Source organism: Homo sapiens, chromosome 4 (assembly GCF_000001405.40).
Source record: "Homo sapiens chromosome 4, GRCh38.p14 Primary Assembly".
Taxonomy (NCBI): domain Eukaryota; kingdom Metazoa; phylum Chordata; class Mammalia; order Primates; family Hominidae; genus Homo; species Homo sapiens.
The window spans coordinates 165707247-165728621 of record NC_000004.12 but is presented as its reverse complement, the minus strand read 5'-3'; the positions used below and the strand labels follow the sequence as shown (position 1 = coordinate 165728621).

The window sequence follows — 21375 nt, the reverse complement described above, 5'->3', positions numbered from 1 at the left end:
TTGCCAGCCAGAATGTGCCCAATTAGAACTGATGGCCAGTGAAGGCGCCAGGCCCTCGTTCTTCAGTGAGTGGATCTTGGGAGGTGGGATAATGAGGGAGGGACTGAGCAGTGAGGGCAGGGCTGCTGGTGGTGGGGAGTTGTTTTCCAACTTCTTTTAAATTACAATAATTTAACAACTATTCGGCTAACAACAATGTAGCTGGACCATGCATTCTTCACCCTATACTAATTGAGTACCTTTCAATATTATTCATATAGTACACACAATGGAAATTTTTAAAGTTGGGTATTTTGTTTATTAATCCAACAAATATTTATTGAGACCTACTAGGTGCTAGGCACCACACCAGACCCAGAAGAAAAGAAGACTAACAGGGCAACCCTCTGCAGAAGGAATCACACTCATAGGAGAACTCTTATATAGTGTATATTAGATAATTTTCTACCCAACTTTCTTCTGCTCATACTTTGTTTATATTACTCTGCATTTGATTGGAATAAAAAGAGGACTGATCCAACACAGTCAATCTTCTCTATTTAAAATAAAGCCAGTTAAACTCATTTGCATAACTAGAAAAATTGATTTTTCAAGTCTACTACATTGATTCCAGACAGATCTGCTGAGTTTTAGAAAGTGTGACCCATAGTCCTTAGATTCTTGTTCTGTTGTCTCTGTCCTATGGAAGGGCATTCTCCTTTAAAAAATTCAGCTTTTTTTGCTGATGCTCTGTAGGCTGCCTTCTAATGAGGATGGTGTGGGCTGGGTTCAGGTTGTAGGATAAGTTGCAGAAAGCCCTAATGATCTGTCTGGAGCAAATCTTAGCACCTTGGGAAAAATGTGTGGCCCTTTAAATTTATGAAAAATTCTTCTCTGGGAGGGAGTGGGAGTGGGGAGGTGGAATAGAGTAGAGAAACAAAGATAGCCATCTACTTGGAGAAAGGAAGACATTTGAAGGAATCTGAATTGCAATCAATGAAAAAGCGTCTGAACTTATCTGAAATATACATTTTAAAATCATAAAGATAAATTACAGAGAGCTTAGGAAATAATTTTGTTTTAGAGAACTGTGTGACTCTGATGGTTAATATTGAGTGTCAACTTGATTGGACTGAAGGATGCAAAGTATTGTTCCTGAGTGTGCCTGTGAGGGTGTTGTCAAAGGAGATTAACATTTGAGTCAGTGGACTGGGAGAGGCAGACCCACCCTCAGTCTGGGTGGGCACCATCTAATCAGCTGCCAGGGCAGCTAGGATAAAAGCAGGCAGAGGAACGTGGAAGGACTACACTGGCTAAGTCTTCTGGCCTCCATCTTTCTCCCGTGCTGGATGCTTCCTGCCCTGGAACATCAGACTCCAAGTTCTTCAGCTTTTGGACTCTTGGACCTACACCAGTGACTTGCTAGGGGCTCTGGGGCCTTTGGCCACAAACTGAAAGCTGCACTATTGGCTTCCCTACTTTTGAGGTTCTGGGACTCAGACTGGCTTCCCAGCTCCTCAGCTTGCAGATGCCTATTGTGGGACTTCACATTGTGATCATGTGAGTCAATTCTCCTAATAAGTTCCCCTTTATATATTCATCTATTCTATTCGTTCTGTTCCTTTAGAGAACCCTGACTCATACAGCGGCTCAAAGGAATCTCAGTAAATCTGAGAAAGAAAAACCACCTCACCAGGCCCTCTATTTAAGGCTGGTAGCCACTGGTGAAAGTGATCATTAAACACTTGGAATGTAGCTGGTCCAAATAGAAATATGCTGTAAGTATATGAATTTCAAATATTTAGTACAAAAACATGTAAGATGTTACATGAATAAGTTTTATATTGATTACATGTTGAAATGATCATGCTTTGGATGTATTTGGATAAATAAATTATATTATTAAAATTAATTTCACCGGTGGGGGGTTGTTTTTCTGTTTTTTTCCTTTGTTTTCAATGTGGCTAGTAGAAAATCTAACATTATATGTATAGTTCACATTTGTGGCTCACATTATACGTCAGTTAGACAACACCAATCTACATTATTAGCTCATTATGGCCCAGAAGGAGTTAACTAATTGACAGCTTTTTACTGAAGAGTGAGTGGTAGTTAATACAATACCTACCAGACTATGTCAAGAGTTTCTAAACAGGCCATAATTTCTTTCTAAATAATAGAGATATTTGCTTTAAATCTTTAGAATTCACTCTGGCTTTTGACCAGACATCAGGGTTAAAAATCAGCACATCTAACTTCTACTAGTCTCTCAGGGCAATCTGAGCTGACAGGTCTGGATAGAGTTGATGGAAGAGATCAAAATCATTCTAACTACTATTCTCGTGAAGAACCAATGCTGATCCTTTAAGAATGAAGATTCCAAACTTAAGCTGTATTTGAGAACAAGGGCAGAGAAAGCTAACATTTCAAGGGAATGAGGAGAGTAGAAGAGATGATTGGATTATAACCAGAGTTGTCAAAGAGAAGCAACTCCTTCTCTAAAGGCTGCCAGCCTCACATGGAGGCGATCAGGGGAGGCTGAACTTGGTGAGTGGGGTGGGGCTTTGGGATTGGTTTAATACTAGGCCAGGAGTGGTCGCTAGTCCCACAACTTTTTCATTCTCCATTTGCTCTCTGATTCCCATTCTGCATCCTTATGAAAGTTTCTTTATAACGGAAGAGAGATTCTTGGCTACTGGCCATAAAGCACAGAGACACATTGCCTCCTAGACTGGAAATAAATTGACTTAAGGGAGGAATTCAAGAATGATACTAAGTTCATACTTCCTTTTTTTTTTTTTTTTTGCATTGTTATAAAGAACAGTGACTTTTCCCTGACCCTGTCCACACTCTCCTCCAGTTGTTTTTAGTTAGCATCACCTGTACTCCTATTGTCAACTTCTACTGGAGTTGACAATAACCAGGGAGAATGAGGAAAGGAAGTTGAGGTTAGGAAAACTAATTGTTCCAAGCCCTTTCCCAACTTTCTGCATCCATGTTCTTCAATTGTGTTGCTTGCCCTAGCTCTCCCCTTTCCCATAGATGCCATGATTAGAAAACACTTGCAGGGACTTTGGACCTTTGGTCTTGCTCCATAGTCTTCATGACTTCTCAGACTTTGTCATTTACCAGGCCATTGCAGCATGAGTGTTCTGATGCTTGCATTTGGTCTGCCCTGCTTTTCTTGGCCTGCCTCTTGACTTTTTTCCCTCAAATCATTGTGACAGACACCACTACACGGTGAGATTAAATTGTTCAACTGATAAAAAATAGGCCCCTTTTCTATTCTGCTAACATAAAAATCAGCCTGCATGTTGAAAATTCAATTTTCACTTCTCCTTGTCAAATAGGTAACATAGATCTTCTACACACCTGTTGTATCTGTACAAACATGTAGCTTATTATTAATTATAGAGCTTAAGACTTTAGCTCATGCTCCAGGACTTCAAAACCAGGATTCCTGCTTCATCTGAAGTTATAAATATTTAAACGTTGGCAATGAATCTTAAAGAAAACATAGAATGATTTATTCTCTAAGAAGGGGCCACTGTTAAGAAGTTTGGCATGAAGCATTTTTCTTAGCATTTGTAAGACAAGCCAACTTTTCAGCTCATGCATATTACTGGGATGAATGACATAGGGCTATTGTGATTCTGCATAAAGATATTACTAACCTCATAGAACTTAGAGAAGCAGGCCTGTGATGGAGCAAAAGAACTATACTAGCAACATCCAAAATTAAAGACAGAGCCTAGAGAAATGTTTCTGCCAACATGTCCTATGAATTATTACTGAAAATCATTTCCAAATCTGAAAAAAATATTTTAAATCTGCACTTGGAGTAAACGGAGGGCCTATTTAAATTGCATAGTTATCATTAGAGTAAATCCATGACATTTTCCTATTTTGAGACTACAATTACAGTGTTACATATATACACTACCATAAAATACAGACTTAAAAATAAAAACGTGGCAACAACGCCACATGGAGATGTGCGTGTGTGCGGTCTGTGAGCCTCACTAACTAGTGAAGTCATTAATGTTCTAACTACCAGTCTCCCACCATGCTTGATCCAATACTTGACCCAGCACAATTATAAATTACTGTATTCCAAGGATCTTTAGAATAACTCACAAGCAATGCTAAAATGTTAACCGCACAATTAAAATTATCATAAAGATAATTTGGCCATTTTTGAAGAATTGCTTCAATATGGGACACAGAAGCAGGCAAAGACTTGGTGTGGGTCAGGGTGGCAGAGAGTCATGTCATCCAGCGCTCTCATCATGTCTTACCAATATCCTTCATGATATCGGTTGAGACCAAGGACCAGGATCTTCTAAGCTAGGGATGTTAGAAGGTGGGCCCCCAGGGCTTATCAGACAATGTTGAATTATTCATTGGTTCTTCTGTTATCATGAGGGCCATTTACTATATGCTCTTGAGTGACAGTCCAGTTAACTTTGGAAATGGATGTCCTAGTAGGACCTTGAGAGACACATATAACTCCTGATGGAGTTCTAGCAATTTCCAGAAATGGATAGAACACAAAAGTAGAAATTTAATTCACAGCAAATTTTCTGCAGAGTTTCAAAATTGCCAAAAAATATTCAACATATCCTGGTTAATTTTAAGTCTTAAGCCTCTATAATGGGGGGATGGGGAGGAAAGAGGTAACAAATTAAAATATCTAAGGGTCCAAAGTAAAACAATACAAGTTAAGGGAAACATGACACAGGAGAACTGAGATTATAAGAAAGCAGCCCCTCATCAGCTCCAAAGGATTATTGCCAAGGGTTGCTCAACCTCCTGAAATCCAGAGAAGTTGGAACTCTAGATATTTTTAATGCAAAATTCCCTATTATAAAAATATTTTGTTTTCAGCAAAACATATCTTTTATCTGTGCGTTATCTCAAGCCGTACAGCCTCAAATTCCTGGTCTGGGGTCTAAAGATTCTTAGAATTACCAATCATCTACTGAGTTTCTCTCCTTAGTGTATTAAAGCATTGAAAGACGGCACTCTCTGAGTCACTGGGAACTCAGACCATGAATAATTGATTCATGAAGAAAACTCACTTTTATATTGTTCCACAAAGGTTACATGCACTCTCATCTGTAGCATTTAAACTTGCAAATTGTGTACTTGAGTGAGTTACAAAACAAGGGGTGGCAAAACCTCATTTAATTAAGAAGGTGTTAATGGAATACTTTCTGTGTGCCAGGCATGAAGCAAGTCTGTATGGAAATAGTAGAAAATGTAATTTGGTTTGCATCTTGAAGGAGCTCACAGTTCATAAAATCATGAAGGAGTTAAAATGTTAGCAGTGTTGTTGTGAAATACATACACTGTAATGCAATTTGTTACAGAAATAGCCAGGTAAACACTGGGTGTTTCCCCACTGACTTGGCAAGCATCCTGACAATTTTATTGAATTTGTGCCTTTTCCCCTCTCAGTTGCCCATTATCTGATAGACATTACACATGAACAGTGGAAAAACCCAAAACCTTTACTGAAAAGTTGAAGAGGAGAGTAAAAGCTTGGGAGAGGTCGGGGGACTGACTAAATACCTCATTTATACACAGAGACTCATTAAGGTCTCATTGCCTTTACTGAAAAATAAAAACAAAGATGTGATTCATTCAGATGTTAAATTTTGCTAATTATTACAGATTAGTATTCAGCACTGAAATAACCGACTCTTCAACTCTATGCTTTGCTTTGAATAAAAGTACCTGCTTTCTTCATTACTTCTTCTGAATAACTCCTGGGAAAATACTGAAATCAAGTCCCTGTTAGCTAATATTTGTCCTAACTATTGGAAACAAAATCAAAGTTTATACTTAATGGACATTTAGCTCTTCAGCTAACTGATGTGTTCTCTGATTAAGACCTAATATAGAAGCTCCCAGATGACTGAGAAATTCATTCAACATTTGTCTAAAGTAACAAGGCACTCTCTGAAACATTTTCAGTGTGTTTAGGTATTTTCCTCATCTATCTCTAGTAGATACCTTAAAGGAATAAGACCTGCACTGTTCCACAGCTCAACATGCTTGGTAATTATTTCCTATTATAATGATGATCATGTAGGGAACTGTTTGGCTTTGATTCAGACAGAGATTTCTAACGTATTCATTACCTCATTAGCATTTCCCTTAAGAATTTTGACAAGAGGCTATAGAGGTAAGAGGTACAAAGTTATCTTCTATCAAGACTCTATTCATCCTTCTATTGAAAGAAAATTTAAGTACAACAGTTAGTGGAATGCAAATTCTATGAGAATTTCAAAAAGAAAAAAACAATAAATTAAGTATAATTATTTCAAAGAAACTACTCATTTAGTAAAAATAAGACTTTTCAGTTATTTGATATAGTAAAATCAATTTGTTTTAGAACTAAAATTGGGGAATCAATGACAGAGAAAGTTTTCACCAAGACATACTGATATTCAACTTATTGCTTTTCCTTCAATGTTAAGACTGAAAGACCTTCATACCATGGGTCAAGTAGTTAGAGTGTTTCACACATCAGTTAGGGAGCAGGGGCAGGGAAGAGGGAAAGGAGGACCTTGGAGCACCTGCCAGTGCTTCTAGTTGTCCCCAGGAGGGCACTCGGCTGGGAGTGGACTCAGGCACTGTGGCACGCAGAACAGGAGAGTGGCAAAGCAGCTCTCACTTAAAGAACGCTGGGCCGAATGATTAACCTGGTGACAGTTAACAAGATTTCCTCTGTGTCTACATAGTTCCAGTCTCCAGGCTTCTTTAACTAAAAAGCCCCATTAGAATTGTTGGCAGTTCCTGAAAAGGTTTCTAAGGCTGGGCCTCTTACACAAGTTTTGCTTAGCCAGAGTGGTTTTCCTCCTTTCTATCACTTGTCTACAGTGATATATGGAAGGACCTGGAGACCTTCTTAAGTTTCTTCTTAGTCCCCTCTGCAAAAGGAGATCAGGGAAAACAAGAGGGCTTAATAATACCCCAAACTCTCAAATTTTGCCTTGAGAACTCTGTTTGAGGTGATAGCAACAAATTCCAAAATGAAGGTGAAAGAAATGTAAAACAATCTCCCACATTTTGATATGATCATCCACAAATGTATGCTATAGACCAAGCCAATTTTCCTCCTCAAATTTTAGTTGCTGTCATTGAAGAACATCCTAATTATGCTCTTTAAAATATCAGTTTCCTCTTTTAAACAGTAGTTGTCCTTTGACATAGAAATGCATGTAACCTGACAGGAACATGAGTCTGCTTTTTTGTTGACAGTCATATAGAGAGCATCCCACACTAAAGTGGTGGTCCTTCAACCTTGGTGTGGATAATATTCACTCATGAACTTGAAAAATGCTGATTATTAGGCCCATCCATAGAAATTGTGACTCAGTAGGTTTGGGCTGCACCTCAGGAATCTTTTTAACAGTGAAACCCAAGTTGTTATAAAGTAGGTGGGCCATGGATCTTACAGAAACACTGGAGTAGAGAACATGTCTTCAGAGGAGAAATGAGCAATTGGAGACCTATCAGTGAATAGCCTTGAAAGATTTTATATGTGTGTGTGTATGCATATATGTGTGTGTGTGTGTGTATATATATATATATATAATGCACATTTATCTATTAAAAATGTGAGTGCTTTGCTTATAAGTCCTCCCAGAGTAACTCCAGTGAGCAAGGGATGGGACAAGAAATAATAATCTATTGGCAAGGTTAAGTTATTTACTCAAGGCAAGTTAACAAATCTGTTTGAACAGCTGTTGGAACTAGAGCTTCCAGCTTCTTGAGTCCTGTACTCTGTGTATATGAGATATGCATTTTCACAGCTATGAAACACATGCTGCATTCCACACTTTCAGTTCCTCTGAAATATTACATGCTACTTCCACTATATCTATTATATGGACATACATATTGCATGCCAAATATCTCAAATGATAGTAGAATTTGGAAATGTTCCTGTTGTCCAGGCCATTGTCCATACTTGCTACAGTGGCTTCAACATCTACTACCTACTCTTCAACTCGCTAAAATTTACACTCTTTCCACCAGTCCATTAAACCTGCTATCGCCAAGGTCACTCACAATTTTCTCTTTGCAAAATCCAGAAGGTGCCATTTGGATCAAGGTTATGGAGCAAACATAATTTTGGATCTCACTTTCTGCAACATAATTCTTGAGATGATATAAAGATTTTTAATAAAGGATAAATCTACAACTTTACTAAGAAATGAGGAAGGCTAAAATCAATATAGCAGAAAATTTGAAAAATTACTAAAACATTAACAGCAAATTGATAGATTGAAAAAGAATAAGAATGGAGAAACTGGGGACCACAATACCACACAGAAGAAAACTACCAAAGTTTTCAGTGATACTTCAAAGTAAAGAATTAAAGATGTTCATAACAGTTTTGTCTCTATTGCTACTCTCCACTCTCCCACTGAGCTGAAAAGCACTATTTTCAAATAGGTCAATAACCTTAAATTGCTCTCTAAAAAAAGGAGGAAATCCTCTTAGGGAAGTCTTCTTTTAAGAACGCTGAGTTCTGTCCTGGTGCCGTGGCTCACGCCTGTAATCCCTGCACTTTGGGAGGCAGAGGCTGGTGGATTATGAGGTCAAGAGATTGAGACCATCCTGGCCAACATGGTGAAACCCCATCTCTACCAAAAATACAAAAATCAGCTGGGTGCAGTGGTGCATGCCCGTAGTCCCAGCTACTCAGGAGGCTGAGGCAGGAGAATCGCTTGAACCCTGGAGGCAGAGGTTGCAGTGAGCCGAGATTGTGCCATTGCACTCCAGCCTGGCAACAGAGTGAGACTCTGTCAAAAAAAAAAAAAAAAGAAAAAGAAAAAAAAGAATGCTGAGTTGTAATTTATGCTATTATGAATATAAAAACATAGTTTACAGGCAGTACTAATATTTATAAAGCAGCTATTATGTGTTGGGCCCTGTTTCAAGCAGTTTCCAAGCACTGATTTATTTAATCTTCATGATAACCCTATAGTGTGGATTCTGCTACTTTCCCCATTTTAATGAGAAACACAGATGTCAAGTGACTTGCCCAAGGTCACACAGCTAATGCACAGTGTAGCTGCGATATATGCTCAGGGAGCTGTGTAGGTCTGTGTTTTTATCCAGTATGCCACTTAGATGTCAATAGCAATCATAGAAAGATGGGGAAAAAAACACAACTGGACCCAGGAGGAAAGTGAATGAAATGCTGTACTGCCTGGACCTTTTTATTTTGGAAATTGGATGAGGTAGTGTTTAGTCCAGTCCTATATTCCAACAACTGGAAAAATCTGTAGTCACTACCTATCCCAGTCAGGCTAGCTTTTCATACAAAGGGACAACAGGTATTTGAGAAAAATCAATCTGGAAGGGGCAAAAACCAAGATTAACAAACAGTATCTGATGATGAGAAAAATAAATTATATAAAGAACATAAGAGAACTTTTAAAATATTCTAAATAGTACCCTCAGGAATAGAAGAGAATATTTAATCCATAAAACAAGAAAACTTTGCAATCAGAGTAGGAGAAAGAGTTCTCTGAAATGAAATGTATAATTACTGAAATAAAAACATCCAAAGATGGACCAAATTCTCAAAAGGACATAGTTGAGGATTAGATTAGTAATTTGGAAAATGAAATTAAGAAAGTCTTTTAAAACACAGAACAAAAACCACAAAAAGCTTGAAAAACTGAGACATGAAGTGTTAGCATAACTTCAACATCTGCGCAGGGCGCAGTGGCTCACACCTGCAATCTCAGTACTTCGTGAGGTTGAGGCAGGCGGTATGACTCGAGGTCAGGAGTTGAAGATCAGCCTGCCCAACATGGTGAAACCCCTGTCTCTAACCAGAATACAAAATTAGCCGGGCACAGTGGCTCGTGCCTGTAGTCCTAGCTATTTGGAAAGCTGAGGCAAGAGAATTGCTTGAACCCGGGAGGCAGAGGTTGCAGTGAGCAGAGATCTTGCCACTGCACTCCAGCCCGGACCACAGAGTGAGACTCTGTCTCAGAAAAAAGAAAAACAAAAAAGGAATTTCAACATCTGTCTAAAAGAAATTTCCAAAAGAGAGAACCAAGACAAAAAAAATAAGGAATAATAAAATAAAATTTCTCTAAATTGAAGAATGACACAAGGCTCAGATTGAAAGGATTCATTGAATTCTGAGCAGTGAAATAAATTCCAGTGATGGCGAAAGAGACAATAACTTTGAGGTACATAAGAATAAATCCACAAATGACTGTGCAAGATATAATAAAATAATATTGAAATATATAATAGAAGCCCCACATACGTAGGAAATTCCACTATTTGAAGGTATTAAGTCTCCTAAAATTGATCTATAGTTCACTGAAATTCCAATAAAAATCTTAGTAAGAAATCTGTAAAACTTCAAAAGATGATGATAGAATTCATATGGAAGAATAAAGAACCAAGAATAATTAAGAGAGTGCTGAAGAAGAATAAGTTAACTATAATATATTCAATCTTGTTATACAATCAGAGTAATTAACACCACGTGGTATTGGTACAGAAGGAGATGAACAGTGGAAAAGAATAGGGAACTCAGAAATTTGGAAATTTAGTACACAACAGGAGTGGAGGAAAATCAGTAGGAAAAGGATGAGCTAGTCAATCAGTTTTGTTAGGACAAATGATTTTGCATGTTATTCATGATTCTTACCTCCCACAAAACAGAAAATTAATTTTAGATGGATTAAAACTCTAACTGTGCAAGGTTGACTCTGAAGCTTTTGGAAGACAACACACTGTAAGATCATGAGAGTAAAGCTGACCTGACAACGATGAGCTTTGACCAAGCAATTTCATTTTTAGGTAAAAAAAACAAAAAACAAAAAAACCCCCAAAAAACTAGAGGAATTTCCACTCTACATATACAAGAAGGTATGTACAAAGAGGCTCTTTTTACAATTTCTTGTGACAGTAAAAAACTAGGAAAAAAGCTAAAATAAAGAAATTGAGGTATATACGTACATATAGTGAAAAGAAAAATAAAATTGAATTATATAAAATTATATACTGTACATATAAATGTTTTTAAAAGCATCATGGGGCCGAGTGTGGTGGTTCACGCCTGTAATCCCAACACTTTGGGAGGCCAACCAAGGCAGGCAGATCATGAGGTCAAGAGAACAATACCATCTGGCCAACATGGTGAAACCCTGTCTCTACTAAAAAATATACAAAAATTAGCTGGGTGTGGTGGCATGCACTTGTAACCCCAGCTACTCGGGAGGCTGAGGCAGGAGAACCGCTTGAACCCAGGAGGCGGAGGTTGCAGTGAGCTGAGATCACGACACTGCACTCCAGCCTGGGCGACAGGGTGAGACTCTGTCTCAAAAAAAAAAAAAAAAAAAAACCATCATGGAAAAAGTGCGGACTGACACATGTTTTAAAAGTGCAGATTTCTCATATATGAAATTTCAAAACATGCATCTTTTCATATTATTTATGGAAATACATGCATATAGTAAAAATACAAATTCATGCATAACAAAGAAACAGTCCAACTTTAGAGGAATGGCTCCTTCTGAGAGAGTGAGAAGTAAACAGTACCAAGAAGAGCTATCCAGGCCTTTCAATTAAATCTGAAATGCTTTATTGTATCTGTAACATTTTATTGTATCTGTAGCATAGTGGATGTTAGTTATATTATATTATCTGTGATTTTCTGTACGTTTTTAACACTTCATGAGAAATTTAGCTTGACAAAAGACACTGGACTTATTAAAGTGAGTAATGTGTTTTCTCATAGCAAATAAGTCAACTTCTCTAGCACCTGGGAATATCTCAGCAGGAAATGTCTAATAGTAATTGCTCACACAAATGCTTTAATATGCCCTGAACAAGAATATAACCTCCTATAATGATTTTGATTGCACACTTTATATTCCAAGGGCCTCTTGGGAGTAACAAAGGAAATTCAAGTGGAAAGCCCCATCCAACTGGCAGCTCCTGGTCCCCTGAGGCAATCTGCTACTCTAAGCAGTAGTGGAGGAACAATTCTCACACTCTCAGGAAGGATTTAGACCATCTTTGGTCCTGTATTTGGATTCATTATTGGGACTGCCTACTGGAAAGCCTACTCTAGGGACCAGGGATAATTGAAAAGAGTGGGAGTGGGAGAAGGCAGTGCACTTCTTCAAAATTTGAAACATTTCTCTTCTAATAATAGTAAGTTTGAGGGAGTTGTTATCATCCACAGACACAGACAATAGTGAGAACACACACAACTAAGGTCCTATATGATGGGTGGACATCACAGGTGAGGTCCTAACACCTAGAAAAGCCCAGGACAGCCCAGGACTGAACTTTGACATCTAGTTACAGTGGTGGAGTTCTGTGCAGCCATGGAAAAAGAATCCCAAGGACCTTATGGTTAGTCATCTTCAGAGCTGACTTTCCCACAGAACAGCTCTGCTCTTGCCAAACAATGAATGATCACACTGTGGGTCCCAGAGAATGCTGAGCCTGGAACTCAGAGATACACTTCTATGGGAGGACATTGGCTGCTGTTCTTTTATATCAGTTTGGGATTAAAATAGGGCTTTGTTCTCTTAATATGTAAACTAGAACCTTTAACTTTTATAAAGCACTTTCAAATACACGATTCATTAAATGCTTACAACCTCCTAGTTTCGCTGATTTTGGATTGTTGGGGAAAGTCACAAAAGTTGATAAGAGGCAGAAATGGGGCATCCTTAGCCTATTTTTGCTGCCGTAACAGAATACCTGAAACTGGGTAATTTAAAAGGAACAGAATTTCATTTTCTCATAGTTCTGGAGGCTGGGAAGTCCAAGATCAAAGTGCTAGCTCCTGGTATGGTTCTTCTTGCGTCCTCACAGGGTGGAAGGAGGAAGGGCAGGAGAGGATATGCTGCGTCCTCACATGGCAGAAGAGCAGAAGAGAGAGAAGTCATTCCTGTAAGCCCTTTCAATAACAGCATTAATTCATTCATGAAGGTGCTGTCCTCATGACCTAGACACTTCTCAAAAGGCTCCACCTCCCAACACTATTGCATTGCGGATTAAGTTTCCAACACATGAATTTTGGGGGACACATTTAGTCCATAGCAGAGGCTCTAGGATAAGGTAGAGAAACAGAATTTTTAGGGAATGGAAAGCTTCACAGGCACATTCCTTGGCTTCAGGTCAAGATCTCAGGACTATCATTCTTTCCCCACAGTCATCCCAGAAAATGGCTTGTCTTGTTTCTTTGACCACAACCAAGTGTTGCTTCAAAACTTAACTCAGGAACTAATTCATCTAGTACAGAAAAAACAGTCTCACAACTTTTTTCTAGCTCTCTAGTAAAAAAAAGCACAAAACCAGCCCATTGAGGTTTTCTAATTGTTTCACATTGAAAGAGTGAGAAAAGGCTTCTATCTCAATTCCTATTCTCAATTCAGCCTTATAGAGCAGTATCTTCCAGGACAGCAGAAGTGCTAGGCTGGCTGTCTCAGGATCATCTATGATGCTTGTTAAAATAAACATGGATGGGTCCTATTGCTAGGGATTTTTTTTTCTTTTCTTTTTGGAGACCAAGTTTCGCTCTTGTTGCCCAGGCTGGAGTACAATGTTGCGATCTCAGCTCACCGCAATCTCCGCCTCCCACGTTCACGTGATTCTCCTGCCTCAGCCTACTGAGTAGCTGGGATTACAGGCGCACGCCACCACGCCAGGCTAATTTGGTATTTTCAGTAGAGACAGGGTTTTGCCACGTTGGTCAAGCTGGTCTGGAACTCCCTACCTCAGGTGATCCGCCTGCTTCGGCCTTCCAAAGTGTTGGAATTACAGGCATGAGCCACCGTGCCCGGCCGGGATTCTTATTTAATAGGTATGAGGTGGGCCCTAACATCTGCATTTTTTCCCAAAGTTTCATATGTAATTCTTAGGAATAGCTAATTTGAGAAATTATGACAGAAGGAAAAGACAAGATCATTGTGAATGCTTTAAGTAGAAGTTTAGGGTGCACATAGGACTGAAGATTTATCTATATTTCAAAGAAGTTCTCATAAAATTTTAGCAAGGGCTTTCAAACGAAGGAACTTGAAAATAATGTAGCCTTCACATATTTTTATTTCGACATTCAATATTACATGATATAATAAGTAATGCACTGGCTCTGGCTTGTAGAGATTGTGAGAGCCAGTTGTTAAATTTTTGGAGATTTTGTCATTCAGTTGTTAAACTATTGGTAGCTTGAAATCAGCTAGGGTGAAAGTATTCACATTATGAAAATCAGGAAATGCTACAAATTAGGGCATTAACGCCCTGGGGAGCTTGTTGTAAATTTACCATCCATCCCACTGACTGTAGAGGATGTAAGGAACAGCATATTATAAACATGAACATTTTACTTAGTACTATTCTGTCACTCCTTTAAATGTATTCAGTTGAAACTAATACCAAAAATATTTGATATCCACCAACCATTATCCACTTGAAAAATGCAGAACAATCTCTTCTTTCATAGATCCAAAATTTACATTATCCCACTTTCTTTCTGAGTTCATATTTCCTTTTGACAATCCGTCATAGGATTTTATTCAGATATAACATTTTAAACTTAAAAGTCTGCTTTTGTTCATCTAATTACATTTCTCTGTAATAGAATAGGTACAAAATTGAAATTAGAGAGTTTTAAAATTTTCTATGATCATAGTGGTCTAAGTTTAAAAAAAATTTTTCCAGATTGAGTTATTAGTACTGTTATTAGACAACTGATCAAACAACATAAATATATTAGTAAGGTAAAAATGATTATTCATTATAAAAAGCATGTTTTAGAAATGCATCTTTGAATACAACGAATGGCCTATTAAAATTATTTATATATTCAAGGATAAATATTATCTATTGCTAGCAAGAGACAGGCTCTACTGAAAAAAAGTTGTTAATAAATAGAAATGAAAATAATTTAGTTATATGAATGCCCCTCAAATCTCGAAAGTCCTTCTTAGTTACAGGCCAAAAATCACATGGTGATTTGGATCTCAAAAACGGTCCTTGATGTGTGAAATGTGTGGAAGCTGCTGCAGATGAAAAACAGGACCTGGTGTCAAACACTCCAATTTTAATCACTCAGCTTCCTGCCTCTGTGACCTTGGATCATTTATGAAGTTTCTGATTCTTTCACGTTACTTATCTGCTAGATAAGTGGATAATATCCCCATCATGTAGGGCTGATATGAGGATGAAATGAAGTAATAAAAAGAAAATGTCCTTGCCTCATTTCACATACCATAACATCCTCTAAGTTCATCTGTGCTGTCACAAATAGCAGGATTTCATTCATTTTTATGTCTGAATAATATTTCACTGTGTGTATGTACCACATTTGCTGTTGAGTCCATATCTTGGCTATTGCGAATAGTGCTGCAATAAACATGGACGTGCAGATATCTCTTTTAACAAATTGATTTCAACTTCCTTGGAGATAAACCCAATAGTGAGGTTGCTGAAACATTTGGTTGTTCAATTTTTAGTTTTCTGAGGAAACTCCATACTGGTTTTCACACAGGCTAATACTGCCTGACCTCATGCATATGTGGAATCTACAAAAGCTGATCAAATGGAAGGAAAGAGTTGAATGGTAGTTAGCAGGGGCTGAAATGATTACGGCTTAGGGAGGATGGGGAGACGTTGGTCAAAGGATACACAACTACAGTTAGATGGGAGGAATAAATTTCAAGAGAAATTTATTTACAGCAAGGTAAAATTTATACCTTACAGCAAGGTGACTATAGTTAATGATAATATAGTGCATTCTTGAAAAATTTAGAGTGGATGTTATGTACTGTCACCACAAAAATGATAACTATGTGAGGTAATTCATTTGCTAATTAGCTAGATTTAATGACTCCACAATGTACATGTACTTTAAAACATCATGTTGTATGTGATGAAAACATAGAGTGTTATTTCTCCATTTAAAATAAGTAAACTTAAAATTTTAATTTTTTTTAAGTGCAGTGAGAAAGTGAGTGTTCAATACATGGTAGCTCTCATTTTTAAAAATTTAATTATTTTAGGAACTTTTTTATTTCATAATGTGAGATACACGAGTAGGCTATTCTTATAAAAGGTCATAAGGAAATATAAGATCTGGGTGTTAAAAAAAAAAAAAAAAAAAAAAAAGGAGGATTTTTAGAGGCTTCCAGGAGGCCCAGGAACTCCTTGGTAGGCCTAGGTATTTAGAATATAGGCTGCTTTTTTTAAAGGATCTTACATTCTTTTTGTGGAACTAAAGCCACAATGGTGAATTTTGGTGGAGAGGAACACATCAGGACTCTTACAGTCTCATGCAGTGGGATGTCTCTGCCAAATTCCTAGAGTATTTAATGGGAAATATTGATATGAATCTTTTTTCAGGTCCATGAGAACAGTTGGCCTCCTAAAAGTCCTCGTCCTTAGGCAATGAGGAGTGGATCTGTTGTCAATTTAGGGTTGTGTAGTCAAGATTATAAACAGGAGTATATTAGAAAATGCTTATTCAGCAGAGCGCAGACTGGCTTTGGTAGAAAAACCTTTTAAGAAAACTTACAAGAGCCTTTGGGTCACTGCTCATCCCCTCCAAGTGACACAATGACTAAATGTTTGTGAACTTAATAACTTGAATCATACCAGACTAGGAAGAAACATGAAGTCTTAGTAAATCTTATTTCTTTTTTTCCCTGAAACCAGTGGAAAAAAAATATATTCACTAAACAGTATTTCTGAAAGTTTGGACCAGTCAAGACTTTAATTAAAAAGCCAAATATCTCTGTTGACGAATTTTAAGCCAATAGGAAATTGAAGATCAAACTTCAAACCTCTCAGGAAAACAGTTTTGAAAGGAAATGCTCACAGACCCACCGCTGGGTGCTGCTATGATAAACAGATGAACCCTTCCATATGTGCCTAAATTCCAGTTACACCCATTGGCCAGAGCCATTATTGGCCAAATCCTGCTGCTAAAACCGCTAGGCACTGATGAGAGATGTGCCAGAAATAATAAGCTGGAGCTTAGGCAAAACCCAAGAGGAAACACTTGATGTCAGATATGAGTTTGCCATTGTTTTGAGGGAACATGGATGGAGGAAAAAGTATATGCCTGTGTGTTTGAGAATCAATGTATATACCTTGACTATCAGAATGGATCTTATTTTCCTTGGCCGTTCAAAACTGACACGAGATCATCTTTTGCTGATATTTACTTTAATGGTGACATTCATTCCCAGGCTGCTATCCAGAGTTATTCTAGTATTGAGAATGCTTTTAAAAATAATAAATATATGAAATAATAAAACATCAAGCAGATGTTTATAAACGTTAGTCAAGTTCAATTAGTGTAATTGTGACACTATATCCACTCAGGGGGAACTGATTTTGCTAGAGGGGACAAACAATCTCCTAGGCCTCCCATGCTTATACTGAGTTTTTATCATTACTAGTATGTGGCAGGGGAGCTGCAAGCGGGAAAATCTCACAAAACACATGCCTACTCTCTTTCCTTATATGCTCCCGTGGCTGTTTCTACCAAGATGCCCCAGAAAAACCATAACTGAATCCTAGATGGACAAACCAGTAGTTCCTTTAAACAACCAAAAGCCACATAGACTTTGAAAGCCGATAAATGTTAAGCTGACCCAGAATCGTGTAGTTTCTGGACTTGGCTCTCCTATTTAACAAGCCACAAGGTAATTTAACTTGCCACTTAGGAGAGTTCAGCGAAGCCACTTCCATCTGAATTGTATAATAACATTTATAATCCCCATAGTACCACTAAGAATCATAGAATTTTAGATCCAAAAGGGACCTGGGAAATGATAATATCCAACAGATAAAATTCAATGACATCCAAAAGTTACTTAGTATATATTATGTGCCAGAATTGTATTGTATTATTGAATGTCTACTAAGTCCCAGATCTTGAAACTACAAAAGTTGACATAATTGGCCCCACCCTTAGAGAGCTCACAGTATAGAAGGAAGAAAAATTCATACAGAACAAAATTAAACTACAATATGACCAAGCTCACTAACAGAGATACAGATACAGGAGCATGAAGGAGTTAATAATTAATGTTTTAAAAGTTAGTGACAGTCTCCTGGAAAATGTAAATTTTTGTTCTGTTGGGAAGGAGAAGGTATATGTCATCCAGCAGAAAGGTGGGGGAGAATGATAGAGGGAAGAAGGCCAGAAGGTAAAGGTATTCCAAGAATAGAAACCAGCAAGAACAAAATAAACAAACAAGCACAGAAGTGTTAGCCTGTGTGCTGTATTTGTGTAACATGAGTAAAGTCTAGAGTGACTGAAGTGTAGGTGAGTGGCAGAAAAATGCTGTTTGACTGCTTTACTAAGAAGCCTAAGCTGATGTTAAATAGGGAGGAACCTCAGATGAGTTTTAGCAACTTAGGGTAGCATAAAGGATGATTGAAAGGAGAAGATTGAGGAAGAGGCTCTGAACATAGTCGGGGGCAAGCAAACTATGCTAGTACTGATGAGTTCTGAATTGGAGCACTGAATGAAATCAGTTAATGAGAGGCCAGTGAAGTCTTAAGTTTCCTTTTCCTTAATCCCAAGATTTTTGTTTTCTGTCTGATTCTACATACTGAGAAAACACTGGGTGAAAAGTTACCCGAGGTTTAAGTAAAAGTGCAGCACGGCACCCTATTTAAGAGCAGAGGTTGCCTCCTCTGACATCCTGGCACTATAGTTATCTGCAGGGTTCGTGTTCAAAGCCTGGCGTCAATTGCAATGTGGGGGATTTAAGGGAAAAATCAGTCATAGAAAACCATAGGAAGATATGATCCTCAGCTGCCTGTGGAAAACTATCCTCAGCAGGACTTTGGTATTGTGAAATATTTTAATAATAATGCAGGCCTATGAATTCCTGGTATTAAACAATGTGCCAAATACCTGGCAGCCAGCACAGCTGGAGCAGCGGTGGGACTGGAGCCCCAGGGTTGCTCCCGCCCTGCTCTTGCGCTCTCTGCTTCCACTTGTGGGTCCCAGCAGAAATGTTCTTCACTGAGGCAAAGGATTGCTTTGCGGCTTAGGGACATCGAGGCAGTCTCCTTGTACCAGTCTCTCATAGTTTTGCTTAGCCACTGCTTGCCTGCCTGACTTCTGCATACTTCTGACCACATTTAACCAAGACCCCTGCTTTGCTCACAGCTGGCTCTGTCATCTGTAATTTCTTAGCCAACACCCCAAATCTAGAGCTCTTCAGGGATCTGGTACAAATAACTAAAATGGCTCTGAGATAAAAAATATACTTGTACAAAGTAAATTTTTAATGGTACGATTTGAATTATGACCACTTAAAGAGAAATATGGTTGGCTTTTACCTTCTTTTTCCTACTCATACTTAGAAATGATTCCAGTTGTTTTGGAATGTTTTGCCAACTATTCTCTGCCTCTGTTTTAATGATATCTGCCTAGATTTTTTTTTCTGTCTTTCAGCTTAATAAAATGAATGAAAAATATTTTCTGAAGTTAATAATAAATATAAAACTATTTAAAAATCTGACAGAATATTAGAATTAGGAGAATGGGGGCTATAAAATATGACCTGTCTCCCAATTTATGAACACCTTCTATGAAATCACGGACAATTTTCACCAGGACACTCTCACTGACAGCTAAACTATAAAAAAAAAAAAATGAACAAACAAAAAATTTTTTTTATCACCTTTTATCCATTTATCACCTTTGACATGTAGATAACCTCAGCTACAGTTGACCCTTGAACAATGCAGGAGTTAAGGGAACTGGCTCCCTGCAATGTTAGAAATACAAGTATAACTTTTGACTCCCTAAAAACTTAACTACTTAATTGCCTTCTGTTAACTGGAAGCCTTGCGGTGACACAAACGGTCAATTGACACATATTCTGTAGATTGCATATATATTATATACTGTATTCTTACAATAAAGGAAGCTAGAGAAAATAAAATGAAGGCCATTATCTTCAGCAGACTAATGCAGGAACAGAAACTCAAATACCACAGATTCTCACTTGTAAGTGGGAGACAAATGGTGAGAACACATGGACACGAAGAGGGGAATAACAGACACTGGGGCCTATCAGAGGGTGGAAGGAGGGAGAGGATCAGGAAAAATACTAATGGGTACCAGGTGATGAAATAATCTGTATAACAAACCCCCATGACACAAGTTCACCTAGATAACAAACCTGCACTTAAAAGTTAAATTTGTATCGCTGAACTTTAAATTTAAAAAATCATAAAGAAGAGAACATGTGTTAATGAATATGTTCATTAAGTGAAAATGGATCATTGGAAAGATCTTCATCCTCTTCGTCTTCACACTGAGTAGGATGAGGAAGAGGAGGGGGAAGAAGTGGGTTGGTCTTGCTGTCTCAGGAGTGGCAGAGGCAGAAGCAAATCTGCATATAAGTGGACCCTCACAGTTAAACCCTTATTCAAAGGTCAACCCTTATTCAAAGGTCAACTGTATATAAAGTTGGAATCCGCTTACCTCTGTCTTCCAACCATTGGTCTTATTTTGCCTGTTGAGACCACATAAAGTAAATCTATGCTCTCATTCATATGATAGAGAGAGATGAAGAAAGAAACTATAATCACCTAGATTTATATTTTTCTGAGCTCCGTATTCCCAGGTCTATCAATCATTACTTGTATGAGTTTTACAAATCCCTCACCCTTTTGGTCACCCCTCCTGTGGAAACTCATTATTTTGTCAAGGTTATTTTTCTATTTCCAGAGTATTGTCAGAACATCTGGAGATGATACTTCTGTTAATGCTATGTAAGATTCCATTTTTTTTCAACATCTGTGTCACCGTTGATTCATTTTAAGCTTAGAGCCAAATGAAATCCTTAGGTCAATTACTTACCAAACTATTTGCTTTTAAACCAAATGCTATTTCTTCTACTAGCAAACAAATAGGGAAGGAGGTGTAAGGACTGAGAAGGAATTAGCTAGTCTAGGCAAGACTCAGAAAATTTTGGAGAAACACATTTCCGTTTGAAATTGTCTGCTTGTAAGGCAATTTTTTTTTCATTTGAAAATGTCATAAAGCTGAGTGATATGGTATTCTCTGGGGTAATTTGAATTCTGTCTGACATTACAGTATGTATGATAAATCAATTGCTAATAGTGCTAGAAATATTTACTTCCTAAATAATCCGTATCAGTAATTTTTTAAAAAGTTACACAAATTTTTACTAAGAGAACTGAAATATATGTGAAGCACTTTGGTATCTTCCATTTACCAATTCAGTGTTTATTTTGCTTGGTTCAACACTGCTATACCAGGACCAGGGCCAAGAATGGACAAGTTGTTGAATAAATCTAAGAGAGTACTTTCTGTCTACTCTGTATTAAAATTCC

General features: G+C 37.8%; 1 long non-coding RNA gene across 1 annotated transcript in view, besides 1 other annotated feature; it reads right to left on the bottom strand.

Moving 5' to 3' along the window:
• Positions 1-21375, bottom strand: part of LINC01179 (long intergenic non-protein coding RNA 1179) — a 78140-nt gene that overhangs the window by 34157 nt on the left and 22608 nt on the right. The window lies entirely within an intron of this gene.
• Positions 9651-9810: a silencer, noted in NCBI's record as "fragment chr4:166639964-166640123 (GRCh37/hg19 assembly coordinates)". NCBI's record gives its function as "represses an EF-1alpha promoter that drives an FKBP-Casp9 reporter gene in an ReSE screen in HepG2 liver carcinoma cells {active_cell/tissue: HepG2}" and the evidence as "EXISTENCE:reporter gene assay evidence [ECO:0000049][PMID:32094911]".